Source organism: Homo sapiens, chromosome 10, assembly GCF_000001405.40.
Source record: "Homo sapiens chromosome 10, GRCh38.p14 Primary Assembly".
Taxonomy (NCBI): Eukaryota; Metazoa; Chordata; class Mammalia; order Primates; family Hominidae; genus Homo; species Homo sapiens.
This window is the reverse complement of record NC_000010.11, coordinates 44,351,815-44,369,110: the sequence shown is the minus strand read 5'-3', so window position 1 is coordinate 44,369,110 and position 17,296 is coordinate 44,351,815. Positions and strand designations below refer to the sequence as shown.

The 17,296-nt window shown below is 51.2% G+C and overlaps 3 annotated features.

The window, feature by feature from the left end:
- Nucleotides 4,013-4,512: an enhancer, noted in NCBI's record as "H3K4me1 hESC enhancer chr10:44860047-44860546 (GRCh37/hg19 assembly coordinates)". NCBI's record gives its function as "activates a minimal SCP1, AML or CMV promoter by ChIP-STARR-seq in primed H9 embryonic stem cells {active_cell/tissue: H9 hESC(primed)}" and the evidence as "EXISTENCE:reporter gene assay evidence [ECO:0000049][PMID:30033119]".
- Nucleotides 4,513-5,014: an enhancer, noted in NCBI's record as "H3K4me1 hESC enhancer chr10:44859545-44860046 (GRCh37/hg19 assembly coordinates)". NCBI's record gives its function as "activates a minimal SCP1, AML or CMV promoter by ChIP-STARR-seq in naive H9 embryonic stem cells {active_cell/tissue: H9 hESC(naive)}" and the evidence as "EXISTENCE:reporter gene assay evidence [ECO:0000049][PMID:30033119]".
- Nucleotides 11,157-12,088: an enhancer, noted in NCBI's record as "H3K4me1 hESC enhancer chr10:44852471-44853402 (GRCh37/hg19 assembly coordinates)". NCBI's record gives its function as "activates a minimal SCP1, AML or CMV promoter by ChIP-STARR-seq in naive H9 embryonic stem cells {active_cell/tissue: H9 hESC(naive)}" and the evidence as "EXISTENCE:reporter gene assay evidence [ECO:0000049][PMID:30033119]".

Here is a 17,296-nt window from a genome sequence, read left to right as displayed (position 1 = left end):
TCCCTCTCTCCACCTCCTGTTTCCTGAGGTCCACAGAGCTAGAATAAGACCCACATCTGCCTCTGCTGAGCCCCTTAACAAAGCTCAGAGACCAAGGGAGCAGGAAGTGACCTGGAAGCTGAGCCTGCCCCTCAGCTAAAGGATGGGGAGAAGTCACTGGGTCGCATCCCCTGTATCTCCGGCACACCACACTGCTATCCTAGCACTGGGAATCGACAATGGGCCAACCCTTCAAAATGACCTGGCATCAGAAAGAAAACCTGAGCCCTGGCATGCTTGCATTCTCCCCTCATTTACTTGGCCAACAACAGCTGTGATGCCTCTCCTGCACCGCAGGAGTGTGGGGAGCAAGACACACTCACTCTAATTCCATGAAGCCTGCAGTCTGGCGGCTGCCGTGTGAGAAGTGGGTATTTTCATAGATTGTGGTGCATTCAGGCATCAGGGAAGCGTAAAACAGAAAAGACCCCTAACTTAGGCATCAGTAAGGATTTGCTTAAAAAGCGCTGGTGAAGGTGAGACCTGAGAAAAGTGGATTCTTTGGGGAGGTGGTCTACTGAGCCCATGAGGGCTGGCATGGAGAGCCCAGGTGGTATCCTCCTGTGAATTGGAAAGGGGGCTTATTCTAGAAGCCGGAGGTGTAGCTCACACAGGGAGTCTGGCATGGGGGGCACAGGGCACTGGGTTTCAGCTTCCTTATTCCCATCACTTGTGGGAGGCACAAACACAGCTGAGAAAGCTGGACCCCCACGGTGATGGGGTCCCCTCAGCACGGCTGATTGCATGGAGTGGACACTGGATGCATATTGCAGGCCGATCTGATTTTCTGTCACAGGAGTACAAGGCTGTGATTCAACAGCATCGGGCTTTGCTCCCTTTCTCTGTGCCTGCAGCTGAGGACTCGGCACTCTGGAGTGTGGGCTGCCGGGAGACAGAAGCAGAGGGAGCCCCCACTGCTTGAAACAGATTCAGAGAGAGAAGTGGGGATGCAAGACCAGGGAAGCAACCTGTGGCTGCCCATGGAGGGCCTGGAGAACCTCAGAGGGCATTGGTCACTGGTGAAGTCTGGCCACACTCCCCGCCTTGGGTTCTGTGTGTTCCAAGTAAATCCTCTTGGAGGTAAAATGAGGATTTCTGCTATTTACACTCAAACAATCATCACCAGGGTCAACTTGCAAGCTCCAAAGAAAGACCATTTAGATCAGCGTTCCCCAACCTTTTTGACACCAGGGATCGGTTTCTTGGAAGACAATTTTTCCACGGGCAGTGCAGGGTGGGGTGGGTGTGGTTTCAGGATGAAACTTCCACCTCAGAGGATCAGGCGTGAGTTAGATTCTCATAAGCAGCACGCAACCTAGGTCCCTCGCACGCGCAGTTCACAATAGCGTTCTCCTAGGAGAATCGAATGCTGTTGCTGATTATCATGACAGCAGGTGAGCTCAGGTGGTAATGCTCCCTCACCCACCATTCATGTCCTGCTGTGCAGTCCAGTTCCTAACAGGCCATGGACCCCTACTGGTCTGCAGCCTGGGGGTTGGGGACCCCTGATTTAGACCACACAGATTCCTTAGCTGTGCCTGCTACCCATTAGGATTGATCAAAGACCCTGAGGCATTCCCCGAGCCTCTCTCCACATAAGGCACACAGGACCCGTGTAGCACCCACCCTGCCTGCCCAGCATCAGCTGTGAAGAGACGGGTGAACATCCGTCAGCCTGGGAGAGCTCTGGCCCAGCCACCAGGTGTGTGCAGAGAAGGCTTGGGCCTACTGCACAGCCTGTGTATCCGCTGAGCAGAGCAAACTGGAGATAGCTAAGTCCTCAGCTGTCCTCAGGTAGAGTCTGCTCCTAGACATCCCCCACTAGGAGGAAGCTCCACAATGCCTTTTCAGGGTTTCCTGCCAGTGCCTCATCATGGATGTTTCACAGACTTAATGAGTAAGCTGACTCTTCAGGCTGCAAGGCAGCACCAGGCCCTGGGCAGCAGCCTCTGGTCAAGTCACAGCCCAACCCTGGGGTTCCCGTCTTAGCTGCTGTCAGATTTCAAGGCCATTGCCCTGCTACAAGTAAGAGCATAAGGAATTGTGTCCACCCCTTGGCCCAAGAAACTAAAAAGAAACAAAGCTGAATGAAGCCATAGATGAAGGCTCTGAACTCCCCAATCCTCCTATTCTTGCTGTGAATGGAGGGGCCTGGGGTGGCAAGTGGGGCTTGTGGACTTGGCAGCTGAGTGGAAAGAGCCCCAGGCTTAGAATAAAGGACCCAGCTGTCAATGGCTGTTTAACCTTCTCCAGCTAAGTCTAACTTAGTCCACCCTGCACCTGCACCTCCAAAGCTGATCGGAGCTTAGAAAAAATTCTTCCCTGCTGTCCACTCTCAAAATTCATACTCAGCCACCTGATCCTACTCAGCCCTTCTGTTTGCCCTTCCTACTCCTGGGGGCTTGTTCCATGCTTTCTTCTCTTTCGTTAAGCTTTCTTCCTCCTCTCCTTTGTCAACTTGCAGCTCATGATCTGGCTTCCTCTGTCACAGAATCAAAGGGAGCATTATGGAGGGGGGTTTCCCAAACACCACATGTTCTCACTTATAAGTGGGACCTAGATGATAAGAAGACATGGACACATAGAGGGGAACAACACACACTGGGGCCTGTTGGAAGGTGGAGAGTAGGAGGAGGGAGAGGATCAGAAAAAATGACTAATGGGTACTGGGCTTCATATCTGTGGATGAAATAATCTGCACAGCAAACCCCCATGACATGAGTTCACCTATACAACAAATCTGCACATGTACTCCTGAACTTAAAAGTTAAAAAAAAAAAGAAGAAGGGGGTTTTCACAAGCTTCACCTCTCGTCCACCCACTCATCCAATATGTATGCACTGTAGCTGCTTTCACCCACCTCCCTGCCACCCAGCACCTGGGACATGGAGATCAGCATTCCTCACCTGCACAAGGATGCCTCTTCTGACTTCCCCTTTCTGCTACACCATAATTTTTTCACTGCTTACATTAACCTGCCAACATGTTATAATATCTCCTATCAAAAACAAAGCAAAGCAACATTGAAAACGATCTCTAACCTATATCCCACTGCATCTTCTGGAGTATCTCTGCTTCTTATCACACACAAGCCCTCAAAAGGGTTGTCTGTGTTCCCCATGCCCACTGTCTCTCCGCCTCTCCCTTCGTTGAGCCCACTTCCATGAGCATTCCTTTGGCTCATGTGCTGGAGCTGCTCGGGCGCTAGGCTGCCAGTCAGCCCCATGCTGGGAAATCCAAAGGCCAGTTATCAATGCTAAGCTTCCTTGGTCCCTTGGCATCACCTGACATTGTTGATCGCCCTCCTTGAAGCACATTTTCTGGTTGGCCTTTAGGAGGCCAATCTGGCCTGTTTCTTTGCTTCACACCCTCTCATTCCACTTCACTGCTTCCTCTTTCTCCTCTAGACAGCTTACCATGAGAGCGTCCAGGGTTCAGTGCTCCTAGCTTGTCTTATTTTCTTATTTTTTTGTTGTTTTTGTTTTTCTTTTCTTTTTTCTTTCTTTTTTTTTTTTTTTTTTTTTTTTGAGACAGAGTCTCATTCTGTCACCCTGGCTGGAGTGCAGTGGCATGATCTTGGCTCACTGCAACCTCTGCCTCCCGGGTTCAAGCGATTCTCCTGCCTCAGTCTCCTGAGTAGCTGGGATTACAGGCATGCACCACCATGCCTGGCTAATTTTTGTATTTTTAGTAGAGATGGGGTTTCACCATGTTGGCCAGCCTGGTCTCGAGCTCCTGACCTCAGGTAATCCGCCCGCCTCAGCCTCCCAAAGTGCTGGGATTACAGGCGGGAGCCACTGCACCCGGCCCCTAGCTCTTCTTGAGCACCAGTTGTACTCACTTGTTCTTTTGGCCTTGAACACCATGGAAACATGAAGGAATTCCAGAGTGCTGTCTCCAGCCCAAACCTGTACACCCAGCTCCTCCTCTGAAATGCACCATATGCAGAATGAAACTCTGAATTTCCACCTGCTTATCCCCATTTCTGCAAATGGCAACTCCATCCTTTCAGTGGCTCAGGCCAAAGCCCTTATATTTATCTTTGATTGATTTTATTCTCACACAACCCCAAGCTAAACCATTAACAAACCCAATTAGTTATCATGAAAATATTTCCAGAATCCAATCACTTCTCACTGTTACTGTCTTGGTCCAAGTCACAGGGGTCTCCTGCCTAAATCACTGTGCTAGCCCCTGACTGTCCACCCTCAGGCTCTTTCAGAAGCAGCTGAAGTGGCCTGTGATGATGGCTGGCTGCAGCCCACCTCCTCAAGCCTTCCTGTGGCTTCCCATCCCATGTGGTGTAACAGCCTACAAAGGTTTGCCCCACCAGCCTGGCATGTCTCTGAACTCAGCCCTCTCTGCTCCAGCCACACTGGCCTCCTCTTACTTCAACAGGTCAGGCCCACCCCTGGCAGAGGACTTTTGCAGTAGTTGGTCTCTTGGCCCGCATATCATCCCATGGTTCACCCCTCCCTTCCTGCAGCCTCTGCTCACCATGGCCTTATCAGAAAAGCCTTTGCAGAGGCCCCCTCCTCCCACGCTGCTGCGCCCCGGCCTCCTCTTGCTGCTGCTCCTCTCCATTGCATTGCCTGACCACATCTGTTTGTTTCTTGCCTGCTTTCCTGCGCTGCACAGCAAGGGGGGACTTGGTCTGTTGTGTTTGCCTATCAGTTGCTGTGGCTGGCACATAGAAGGTACGACAGTAATTTTGGAATGATGGCACAATAGCTAAATGGGATGTTAACATGTTGGACGCTTTCTCCACTCATCTCTGCAATGAAGGCAGCAACTCACCTCCAGGGTTGTGCATTCATTTGCACACCCAAGGTCACACTGGTACCCAAATCCATCTCACTCCAATGTTTGTACATCAGTGGTTACCCGCACTGCTCCTTCTGCAGACTCCCCTGTGTCTGGCCCTTCCCCCTGGAATCCCAGCACATGAGAAACACTATAGTGTTTATTCCCTGTGAGCCTAAATTAAAGAACCATCCCTTCCCTAGAGGCACCCCCTTCCAAGGCTTCCCTGCTTCCAGTGGGGCCTGAACATGCTGCCTGTGCAAACCACAGGCCAGCATTGGGACAGGCACAGCTGGTCTGGGCTTTGCAGCTGGTGGCCCCAGGGGACAACCACAGTGGCTGCAGGTCCCATTCCTGAGCCTTGGAACAGATTTCTGCTGCTGGTGCTTCAGGACAGGCCTGACATGGGGCAGTGGGTGGCTGGCCAGACCTCAGGACATAGCCAGGGCCCTAGAGGGCAGAGACACCACCAAGTGGAGTTTTCCACGAAATCAGTACTGGAAGCCGAGGCTGAGTCTTTCCAAAAATGGACACAGCTGGGAAGTGACAAAGTGAGGATTCGGACATGAGTCTGTATGGCTCCAAACCTAAGCCTGTAACCATAGGACCCCCCTGCCTCCCCTCTAGGTTCTCTATACCTTCCCCACTGCCCTACCAGGTGGAGGCCTTAGGCTACCCTGGCTGCTGCTGGCTTGGCCTAAAGGCTGATGCTCCCAGCCAGACCTGAGCAAGATGGCCAACCTCCGGGGAGGAGCTGAGGCAAGGGCCAAGAGCTCAGGACTGTGGCTGGCAGCGGTGGCTGTGCTCAGCTTTCCCAGGCAGTGGCCAAACTCAATGCTGCAGCCAGAGAAGCTGATGGGGAGGAGGAGCGACCAGGCTTGGTCAGTCTGGAAGGTCCCAGATGCAGCCACGGGCTACCCTTGTCCTTTCCCCTTCCCAGGCACTTCCCCAAACGTGGGACCCTCAGCCTGGGTCACATGGGCTTGTAGGCCGTGAGGAAACAACCATTCTGGGCATTCCTGAGCCTTGGGGGAGGCGGCTTTCCTTCCGCCCACTATGGGAACCCTCCAGGGCCCTGTCGGTGCCTTCGCTGGGGAAGGAGGCCTGCCAGGGACCAGCTCGTTCCAGTTCCTCCTCTGAGAGAGCACCTGCCCTTCAGGCTGTGTGGGCCTCCCCCTGCTCAGGAGGCCAAGGGAAACTGGAGCCTAATGCATTCACTGCGTGTTTCCTTTGTTCAGGACAGAGCTCCTGCTGGGGACAGACCAACACCTAGGTCATGTGCCTTCCAGGGCAGCCTGTGCCTGCCAGGCCCACACAGGACTTTCAGGTACCATCTCTTCCAGTTGTCCTGATAATCCCATGAGCTACCAGCCCTCTCCATGTGATGGACACAGACAAGGAGCTTCAGAGTAGCCGTGAGCCCCACGTCTCAGAGCTGAGATATGGCAGGCAGGAGCCCCTCCTTGGGCTGTTTGGGGCCAATGCACTAAATAACCTTCTCTTGTGGTTTGCAGTCTCCGGCCTTGTTCTCCGGCCTTGGTCAGTCTGGAAGGCCCCAGATGCGGCCACATCTGGGGCCTTCCAGATGTGCCAGCACAGGGGCTGCCAGGCTCAGGTCCATGGTTTGCCTTGGATGGCACAGGGATATTTCTGGGGTTTAAGTGAGAATCCATGTATGGGAAATGCTGGACAAAGTCAGGCTGTGAAATTAACATAAACTAGTAGAAGCAGCAATTTTAAAAAACAAAATAGAAAAGAAAGAAGAATGTGTTTTCAAATAGAAAAGAAGGAAGAGAATAAAATGAGAAATTTTGGCAAGTGTCACATCTACTGTGGGGAAGAATAAGTCTTGAGTGTGTGTGTGGGGGTTGGTGAACACCTGATGATGATGATGATGATGATCATGATGTAAAATACAACGTTTATCATAGGTTGTGGTCAAAAAAGTGTACTGCTCTAGTGTACACAAACCCAGCGATGAGTGTGGCTCATCTTGAACCCCAACACAGAACCTTCTCAGGGAGCCTGGTCCAGTGGGGCAAGGCTCATGGAGCCCCCTGCTGACTTCTCAGGAAGCCACAGGGGCAGAAACCAAAGCATGGCTTCCTGGAAATGTGGGGACTCAAACTCCAAAATTCCCAAGAGGGGACTTGAGGGGGTCATTGCCCTGGACAATCAGTGGTCTCCAAGATGCTATTCAGATCCCTTTCAAAGTCCTGGAGGAACAAAGTGACCATACTGTCCCAGTATTTGCCTGTTGTTCCAGGAAAATGAAGGACAGAGCCCTCTTCTCTGTCAGAATGTCCTGGTTTCAATGATAAACTGTATGGCCAGTCTGTCAAAGAGTGAGGGAGTTTGTGGGATCTGCTGCGCTCATGGCTGGAAATACAAAGCCTCCTGTTCCTCCAGCCCTCTTCCATCACCCTCCCCTTCTCCTCCAGGAAAGCCTGGAGAAGCCCCAGGTTCTTGCTGTACTTCCTCCCTGGATGTCTCTTCTCTTCACCCAAACTTGGAGCTGCTTTCTGGAGCATCTGAATCCCTGGCCTGGCCTGGGGCTCCTCATACTCCCTGTAAACCAGGTACAGGCAGGGAAACCAGCCCAGGAAGAGAGAAGTTAGAGTTCCACAGGGTTTGAGGTGGAATGCCAGTCATGTAGTCAATGCGATCAGTGTTCACCCATCACAAACCACAGTGGAGATCTGAGAAGGGAAGTCTCAGAGGCTCTACAAGCCCTGGTCTCCTTGTCTGTGGTTCCTCATCCATTTCACCCTGAGCAGGGAGAAGGGACAGCCCTGGACTGCCTGGAGGTGAGCAGAGCTGGAGCCTGAGTGCAAGTAAGAATACCAACCTAGTGTTCATTCCACCCTTCTACATGCCAGGCACTTAGCACATTCTGAATAATGCTCCCTGCTCCCTGCAGGGGAGATGATATTTCTGTTTTGCAGATGAGAAAATGGGCAAGGTTAGCACTTTCCTAAGCCATGTATGGAAAAGTAGCTGAAGCTTGAGTCTCCACATTTTTTATTGAGCTGTCTGCATCACCAGGCAGTTCCTCCTTCCTGTGTGTCTGAGCCGCAGCCATGGAGGGATAAATGAAGGTATCAGGGGGTAGGGAGGGATTGTGATGATGAGAGGGGGTCACCTTGAGCCAAAAGGGCATCAGACACTTCTTTGACTTCTGCTGGGCTGTGAGCTGCCCCCGAGTGGAGGGTGACATGACTTGGACTCTCAAGGGGTCCAGCACACGCAGGGCCACGCAATGTGGCAATGTTGGCTGACACTTGGCCTGGGCCCTGAGCAGCCCTGAACTCAGAAGAGAGGAGCTAGAAATGCATTCTGGAATTGGAAAAAGGAATGGTTAGACTCTGCCTTGACCAGTTAGCATGAACACAGGAGCCAGGAGACTGGTAAAAAATAAGGGGGATAATAACAATAAAAATTATGCCAGCTAAGTCTTCCCAAGTGCCAATTTTGTGCCACGCTCAGGGCTGGCTGCTCTGGAGGCAAGAGAAAGAGAATGACTTGCACAGGGCCACCTACAGTTGCCTATCATATCTGGGTCCCTCCCCAGCATCTCTACCTGTGTTGGCTTGAGCAAGTATTGGGGCCTTGAGGCTGGATATGCTGCCTGGCCAGGGTATGCAGTGTTAAGGTAAGATTCCCCTCCCCGGCTTTGTCCCTGGAATCCTTCAAACATGCATGTTCTTCCCTCAATTTTTGGGGTACTTCTATGTCCGTTGTCATCACTCATCTCTTAGTGAGTGACAGGTGCTCTTGGTGACATCTCTTTGGCTGCCTGTGTTAAAGACATTCCTTAGCTGCAGGTCAGGCAGGGATTCAAGATTGCAGTTGCCTTACTTTTCCCCAGTGTGCGCTGTGGGAGTCAGGGCTCTTTGAAATGCCCAAGGGTGGGACATTACTAGGAAGTTGGGGTTCAGGAATCATCCTAAATGCATGTGCTCTAGGGTCTGGCCTCGGTCTTGGGTACACCAGGGGCCACCTAATTCCTAGCTCAGCCTCCTCCAGAATGTGCCCCACATCCAGGGCTTTAAGTTCCATCCATTCCTCAATTTATCAGCCAGAGTCATCACCTCTTCCCAATTTCATGGAAATTTCCAGCTCCTAAAATTCTACCCTAAACCATCATGAGCTCATTGCAAGACATTTTAATTACTTGTTGAACAGACTATTTAAACAAACAACCTGAGGATATGTAAATTGCCACCCATTGCAGCTCTCTGACCTACAGCTTCAAATGGGATGGGGCAGCCTCAGTGTCTACTTAAAGACGCCTGTCTCTGTAAGAGACAAGGGCACGTCCACATTGTAATTCAGCTGCCAAGGACAGAGTTTGAAATTATTTTTGCTTTTTCACCTGTGAATAGAAAATCTTTCCTCTCGATTCTACCCTTTCTTACTTGTGCTGATGGTTCACAAACCACAGATTTCCACATACATGTTTGGATGTCCATGTTCTTGGGAGTTCAGATTCCCAGCTTTGTCTTTTACTCCCAATGGTTCCACAGCAAATTCACCCCACCAGCTGTCCTGCCAGGGGGTCCAGCACCAGCTCATGCCAGTGTGACAAAGACGGATCCCTTCTCAGAAAAGCCAGATGGTCTCCCACCCAAAAAAAAAAAAAAAAAAAAAAAAGGTTTCCAAGTAAAATAAGACAAACAGCCAGGGCCAAGAGCTGTCCACCAGGATCCCCCATGCCCACCTCTCAACCTGGCTCCCCACTAGAGGTTGTTTACAAGGATAAATTGAAATGTCCAGTGCAGCTTGGAAGTAAGATTTTCATCTCCATCTCCTTTCAACCCACACCATGAGCTGTTTTACAGGAATCGAATCAAAGCACAGCACACGTTTTAGGTTCCCAGCACTGATATGTCCTTCCTCGTCATTTTCATTCACATATTCACACCACTCAACATGAAGGTGAAACAAAATAAGACAGGAAAAAAGTATCTTTGGCAAGTTTGGGCTTGGAATCTAGGCAGGAAGTAAAGAAGCTAGGAGAGACCCCATGCCAAGCCCACAATCTAGTCTGAACACTCATGTAAACCAGAGGGAGCTGCCCGCTCTGGAGATAGCTCCAGCCTCAGATGGTGATGCTCTGGGCACGCCCCAAAGTCCAGGCACCTTTGCACTTCCCAGTGTCCTGAAACAGAAATGAGGAGGCTGCCCGACTCACAGTGCATGGCAGCGGGGGTCATCCGTGGTATTAAAAAATATGCAGAGACTAGGGAAAGTCTGGGGAGCGGGGGACAAATAAAGTTGAAATGAGTAAAAAATAGAATTTATAAAATCATATGAAACATTTAATTTTAAACGATGTGAGGAGAGCCTTTATCACTGTCTTGAACTATTTAGGATTGTGGATCCAACCAATTTCTTTCCTCTAAGGAAACTGAAAAGTGCTTTAAAGGCAGCAATGTGTTAGATTCTGGAGCAAAAAGATCATCTCCCTCAGCTTTTAGGTTCCCCACCCATGCCTGATACAGTAGAAGCTTACTGCAGGAGCTAAGTAAAAATGCTCTGCATGGATCTTTCCAGTCTAAAGGAGTGCAAATACAGTTTGAAACCCTTTAAGAACGCCCAGCAGCAGCCCTCTCCAGCTTCCCTTCCCCTCGGTCACACAGGCTCACTCCTGCCTCCCCGCTGTCTTCAAATGATCCTCCCCTGCCCAGGACCTCTTTTCAGCCTGGCAGCCCCATGACACCACTGAGGCTGCAGCAGGGCCCTTCCCTATAATGAGTGAGATGCCTCCTGGGTCATCTTTTCTGCACCACGCCACTGCCTTCCCAGCCTGAGCTCTCTGTATCATCTGATTTCCTTGCTCCTGTGCCCATGGTTCATCCTCCCCACTGGATATGAGCTCCACCAGGCCCACACCTTCCTCCCTGCCATCCCTGCCATGCCTGCTGCTGGGCCCTGTCAGGGCAGCTGGCTGTTCCACATCTCGCCTCTCTGAAAGTCTTTTCCCATAATGCAGCCAAGTTCAAGTTTGTTTACCTTCTCCCCGGTTAAAGCCTGATTTACTATCCCAAGAAGGAAGGCAGCAAAACTGTCACACATTAGATATTTACAAAGCAGTGCCCCGTTTTTCTCGGTGTTGCCCATATGCCCTGAGGATTTTGCATTGGCCACATTATCATAATTTGAATATGTCAAGCTAATATTTCTCTTAAGACTTTCTTATAGTTACATTTCCAAGGGAAATATGTTAGCATAAAATATGTTCATTTTATTTAACAAACAAATAATATGCCTTAGCCAGTTTAATACGAACACTGAAACTCCCGGGGATGACAGACAGAAGCATTCAGAAAAATGGAATCTACTATTTTTTCTATCCAAGTGCAAAACCCCAGACAAAGGACTTGCTCATAAGCATCTTGTTTAGTACTTTTTCTCCACGAATATTTGGAAAGGAGACTATCACCGTAACCTACTTTCAGTGAAGTGGATGAAAGAAAAGAGAAGTAGACAAATCTGAAAAAAAAAATCTAGTAAAAGAAATACAGCAAAGGAAAGAGATGAGAAAAGCGAGTCTAGGAAAACAGGGGCCTCCTGGGGGAAGGTCTGGGCCTGGGCTCTCAGCCCAGGCTGCCCATTTGGCTCGTGAAATCCACACTGGGTGACCAGTGGAATCAGAGCCCCGGGTGGGACCGGGGGCAGTGGTTTTTAAAGCTCTGTGGGCGATCTCGGTGCCCAGCCATGGTGGGAAGTCACTGCTCTAGACCAGTGGCTCTTAAACTCGAGGAAGCCTTGGAGTTAGCTGAGACACAGGGTTCTTGATTGCCCCCAGAGGTTCTGGCTCGGCAGGTTGGGGTGGAACCTAGGCATATGCATTTCTGACAGGTCCAGGGCCACAGGGTGAGAGGGAGCCTGTGCTCCGGACCGCGGGCATGCGGCCTTGTTGTGCTGGGCTGGTCAGTGTGCCGGTGGTGACTGTGTACTGTCCAGGGCCACAGGGCCAGAGAAACATGAGACTTCAAGATTGAAAGAGATGCCCAACTCCGGGGTGTTAATCCTGCCTCTTGTTCACCCACTCAATGAGCACCCCTCCCTCCCAGGGGAGTCCGGGACATTTCTTCCAGGTTTGATTACTGTGAGATCATCCATTAGACTGGTCTGAGCTTGCCTGGCAGATCTTCCTCACTGAACTCAGTGCCCCTGGGAGTAGAGGTTCCATTGTCCAGCTGACGAGAGGACTGGGGAGTTACAGTCTGGGTTTCTTATTCAAACATCTCCCCAAGACGTCTTGCAAAAAGGCATGGGTACTCTTCCCTGGTTCCTGGCCTCCGCCGGCTCACACTCAGGCATGTTTCCCTCCCCAAGGGGAAGTCCCTGCGGCTGCTCCCTTTCTAACCAGCCCCCACAAATACAAAGAGGACTGCTGGGGTGAGGGGTGGCACCAGAGGGCATGTAAAACTCGGTATCGTTTCTGTCACTGGAGATCCTAAAAAAGCCCCTCCTTGTTCCTGAGCCCAGTGACTTCCCAGGGCCTTTTCGGCTGCCTGGAATCTACAGCAGCCACCTGTAAATCAGAGGAAACCCATGCTGCTGTGCCTGGGATCCTTGAAGCGTTTTCTCTCTCTCTAGGGGGTGCTGAGCCAGCCCTTTCTGGATGCTGGGCCTGAGAGTCCCAGGAGAGCCCTGCTTTGCTTGCCCTCGCCCAGGGTTTGGCAGGAAGCGCTCATCCTGAGCTCTGGCTCTGAGGCTGCTCCTGGTCTTCTTTCTCTCTGATTTCTTCCCACTCCCTTTGCTCTGCCTCGATGCCCAGAGGGAAGGCATGCAGGGCCCATTCCACAGGTGCATCCTCCCGTCCCCGACTTCCCACCTGTCCTGGGATGGTGAGAGACAGAGAAAGAGGTAGAGAGAGACAGAAAGAGACAGAAACATGCACATGCACATGTGCACGCACACACACACGTGTACACACACACACAGGTCCCCACCCAGTGCTGAAGCAGGTAAGCCTACACGCCTCCTAGCCACAGAAGCGCTCGGAGTGGGGCATCTTCTGGAGTCCACGTGCTACGTCCAGATACTGAAAATCTTACATCTTGGGTCCTCACTTCTCAGCTGAGCTTCCAACTCATTTTTTATTCAGTTACCTACTTGGATGTCAAAGGCATTTCAACCTTTGCAGAGACCAAGAGAAAGCTTGATTCTCACATCCCCCTTATCACTTAAGCACATTCAACTCCCAGCTTCCTTGTCTTGCGGTATCACCAGCCAAAAACCTGGAGCTGCCATGATTCCACCCCACCCCTAGCGTGCACACACACACACACACACACACATACACACCCCTTCCCATCATCAAAGCCATTGTGGCTTTCAATCAAACTCAAACTCCAATAGCTTCCTAGAGCTCTCTGGGCCTCCATGTGTGATCACACCTGCCCTCTCCTGCCACCTCCCCTGGCTGCACAGGGAGCTTTCTATGCACTTTGTGTGTGTGTGTGTGTGTGTGTGTGTACACATGTGTGTATGGAGCCAGCAGGGAGCCAGTTAGTGGAGGTGAGCGTTTCCAGAAGCAGCATGTGGGGACCCAGCCCTGCAGCCTGGGTGGGGATGCTGGCTTATCTTCCTCTCCGCTTCTCAGCCCATCTCTGGGGACCCAGCCTCTGTGCTGCCACCTCCCTGCCCCTCTTTCACGTTTCCATTACTCTCATTGGATTCATGGTATTCTCTGTGTATGCAACAAAGACTGTGTTCTACTCTCTCAATTCCTTGCCATACTAGAGGGCAGCCAACTGCAGGGGCTTCCGTGGGGAGAACAATCCAGATGGGCAAGTGACCTTTGGACTCAGTCCCTAGGAGTGTGTTTAGAGACATCACTACCCACAGAGGTTACTTTATGAGGTAAAATTCTGAGGGATGTGAGGAATACCTTCTGGCCCCTCTGAATCTAAACCCTACTGTCTCAGCCCAGACCTCTGTCCTGGGACCACTCACGGGCACTGCTGTCTGCACCACCAGAAAATATGGAGACAACAGGAAGAGCTGAGGTCAGGATGTTTCTTCCCTGGAGCCCTGCAGCCAGGTTACTCCCGGTTTCTGCTGATGGAGGCTGGTTGCTCTGTCCAGGGGAGCCATCTACCTAGAGCACCCTGCCTTTGCATTGGATGACCACTTCCCCACCCTGTGACCTGCTTGCACCTTTGCAAGTAGTGCCTTTACTAAACTCCTCTGAAATGACCCTATTTTGAGTGTGCCATCTGTTTTCTGCTGGGACGCTGATTAACATACAGACTGTTACACTTTCAGATGATATTTTCCCATGATGTTTGCATTTCTTGAAACAAGCCTGCACTACTTTTATAGTACATGTAAACAGTAAAAATAAAACAAGAAGAGGCAGCATTCAGCACTCTGCAAGGGGAGCTGCTTCCTAACTCGGCTCACTCTGGTCCCAGGTTTCAACTCCAAAGGGGACACAAGCTGACCCAGTTCCAGCACTGTGTGTAAAAATTCCCCAAGGGGATTTTAGCTTAATGAGTTACAACAATGCCCAAAGGACTTGTTGAGAATGAATCAATTCACACTCTGGAATAGGAACTTTACAACTTTAGTCTGAATTAAGTTTAGGTGTTACAAGCCTAGTTTTTGGAGTTAGGAAGACCTGAGCTATAGTCCAGACTTAGCCTGTGTGAGTGTGACCTCAGACAAGTCACTTAATTTCTCTGAGCTCCAACCTTGTCATCTCAAAATATTTCTAAATTTAGGGGAGAACTAATTGAGAAAATATATGAAAAATGGTTAACATAATAAGCACTTAATACATACTCAAAGCGTGAAGATGATTCTCATTATCGTTATTCTAAATACTACTCCATGTGTAGAGCACAGCATGGGAGGTGAAGATACGTCAGCTTCCAGCTTCTTTCTAACAGGGCGAGCATGGCAAGAAGGTGCTCTCTTCTCAATCTGGCCTGGGCTCCTCTCATCATTTTCAGAGCCTATTCTGCCTGCCCTCTGCGATATGACCCTGAAGCCTAGGGTGGCAAAGCCTTTTATCAATGTCTTTATCACTGATGAGGGAAATCTTCAGTCTTGCCACATGCAACCCCCACAGTTCCCATATGCCCAGAGGCTGGATCACCTGATGCCAAGGAAGGACATGTCCTCTGATAAGGTCCCCAGAATGCTGACTGCCCACTGAGGTGGCTGGCTTGGGACAAGTGTCTTGCGGCAGGTCATCTGAGGGCTCCATGACTGGCTCGGTGGGGTCACAAGGCCATTTTAAACATTTGCTGTTCAGGAAGAGGCTTTTTCCAAGTGAGGATTCAAGGGGAGCCCTGCCATGGGCAGCCATGGGGACACAGGGATAATCCTCTAAGATGGCACCCCTGTCCTTGCTGCCTACCCATCTCCATCAAGCCACTCTGTGCCCACGGTGAAAGGGCCCCACTTCCCGTGTGAGTCAATACAACACATTCCACGCCAGCAATATGGAGCCATCGGGTGTGGAGGTAGAAAGGGTTGGCCTGAAGCTGTGCGTGCCCTCAACCTGCAAGGGGAAGTTGCTTTCTCCTCCAACCCAGATGGGCCTGGAGCAAACACTCACAAGAGGTTTTAGGGGTGGCACTTGAGGGACAATTGGTGTTTCATTGACTATGCCACACTCGCTGCTTTCTACCCCTAGCTGTCTCTCTCTGTTCATGGGTAGCCGTTTCCGGGAGTATTGAGGAGCTTGTGTGTGTGATATCCAGGCCCCTCAGGGCCTAGTTCATGGTCATCACTGATACAGCGACCAGACCCCTGCTGGATGGTGCAGGTCATACAACAGGGTCCTCTGTGGAGACAGACCCTCTAGCAGCTCCTGCCAGCCAGTTTGGGCTTTAAATCATAAATTTGGTGCTGCCTTTCCTCTGGAGGGAAATTTTCCAATGGCTTTTCCATGCCACTGGAATCAAATCCAGACTCTTTTCCAGGGCCTGCAGGTCCAGCGAGGTGTGCCTCTGGCTACCTTCCAGGGTTCCTCGAGCCCCTCTCCAAACTACCCAGGCTTCCGTGCCATCAAGCCTGGGCCCCCTCAGGACCTTGGCCTGGAGCGACCCCATCTGCTTATGGCTGTCTCCTCTTCACTCTTCAGGTCTCAATTCCACAAATCCCTGCTCCCCTGGTCAGGTCGGGCAGACCGCCCTCTGCACCCCAGCCCTGCCTCTGTCCCCGTTGAGCTGCCCCACAGCAGTGTCACCATTGACAGTCCCTTGTTTCCTTGCCCACTGCCTATGTCCTCTTCAGCATGTGAACTTCAGGAGAGCATAGGGCCAACGGAGATCCTTGCCTTTCTCCATCTGTGTCACCAGGGCCCTAGAAGGAGCAGGAGAACAGTTCGATATTTCACACCTGAATGGTATTTAATCAGTATGTGAGGGCTGGACAGATGCATGAATTCCCAGGTGGCTTTCCAGTTTAGAGACACGGGGCTCCTGCCTTTAAGACAGAGGGTCAGAGGCATTCCACCAACCAAGCCCCTCTGTGCACTGCAGGGGTAAGGGTGGACACACCAGCATCTTCCTCCTAAAAAGTGCGCACTCCCAGGACCCCCTGATAGAGGAAGACTGGGAGATGCAAGGGAGTGTGCAGAGGAAGCCAGCAGCAGGTGTGAGGAACCCCAGGACTTCTCAATGAGCCTGGGGCCAAGGGTAAGAGGCCGGGCCTGACACAAGTTCAGTGGGATCCTGAGCCTTGGAGCCGGCAGCTTGCCCAAGCCACAGCTGGCCAGGCTCAGCTGAGCCTCCCAGGAGGAGGAGGGCTGTATAAACAGGAAGTCTACCGCCCCGACACTGATGGGCCTTTGATAACTGCTAAACCCTCCTCAGTCTTTCTCCCAAACAGTTCCTCCCTTGGTTTGAAGTCACAGTTCTGGGGGCAGGAAAACAGATTCCACACCTTCCTGACTCAATCACCAGGCACCAGAAAGAGGGAGAGGATGGAAGCAAGAGGTGACAGAGAGAACCAGAGAGACGGATGAGGGAGGAGGGAAGGAAAAAACAGAAACACGAGGGAGACAAAGAGTGAGGAGGGGAAGAAAATAAGAAGAGAAGCAAAGAGAGTGTGGCACCAGGAGAGAGGTGAAGAGTGAGCTGAATGACCCTGTAGTTTCTCTAATGCAAAGTTTCTCTAATGCAAAGCAGCTAGCCCAAAAGGAGCTGATGAATGCCAGAGCTACTCTGGGGGGATCAACCCATGACCGACCTCTTCTGTTCACTCCCTGCTTTTAAAGCACGGAAGTCAGAGACATCATCCTTCAGAAGCGGGTCTCACCAGGAACCCCATGCTCTCACCTGGGCTCTCAGGGCCTGGGATGTGGCCCTTGTTCCCTTGGGGATCAGTACCTGGTGGTCCTGGCACCCACAGAGGCCTCCTTGTTGCTCTCTAGCGTGGTGACCCCTAAAAACAGAGGAACTTGGGTAGAGAGTTGCTGCCACTT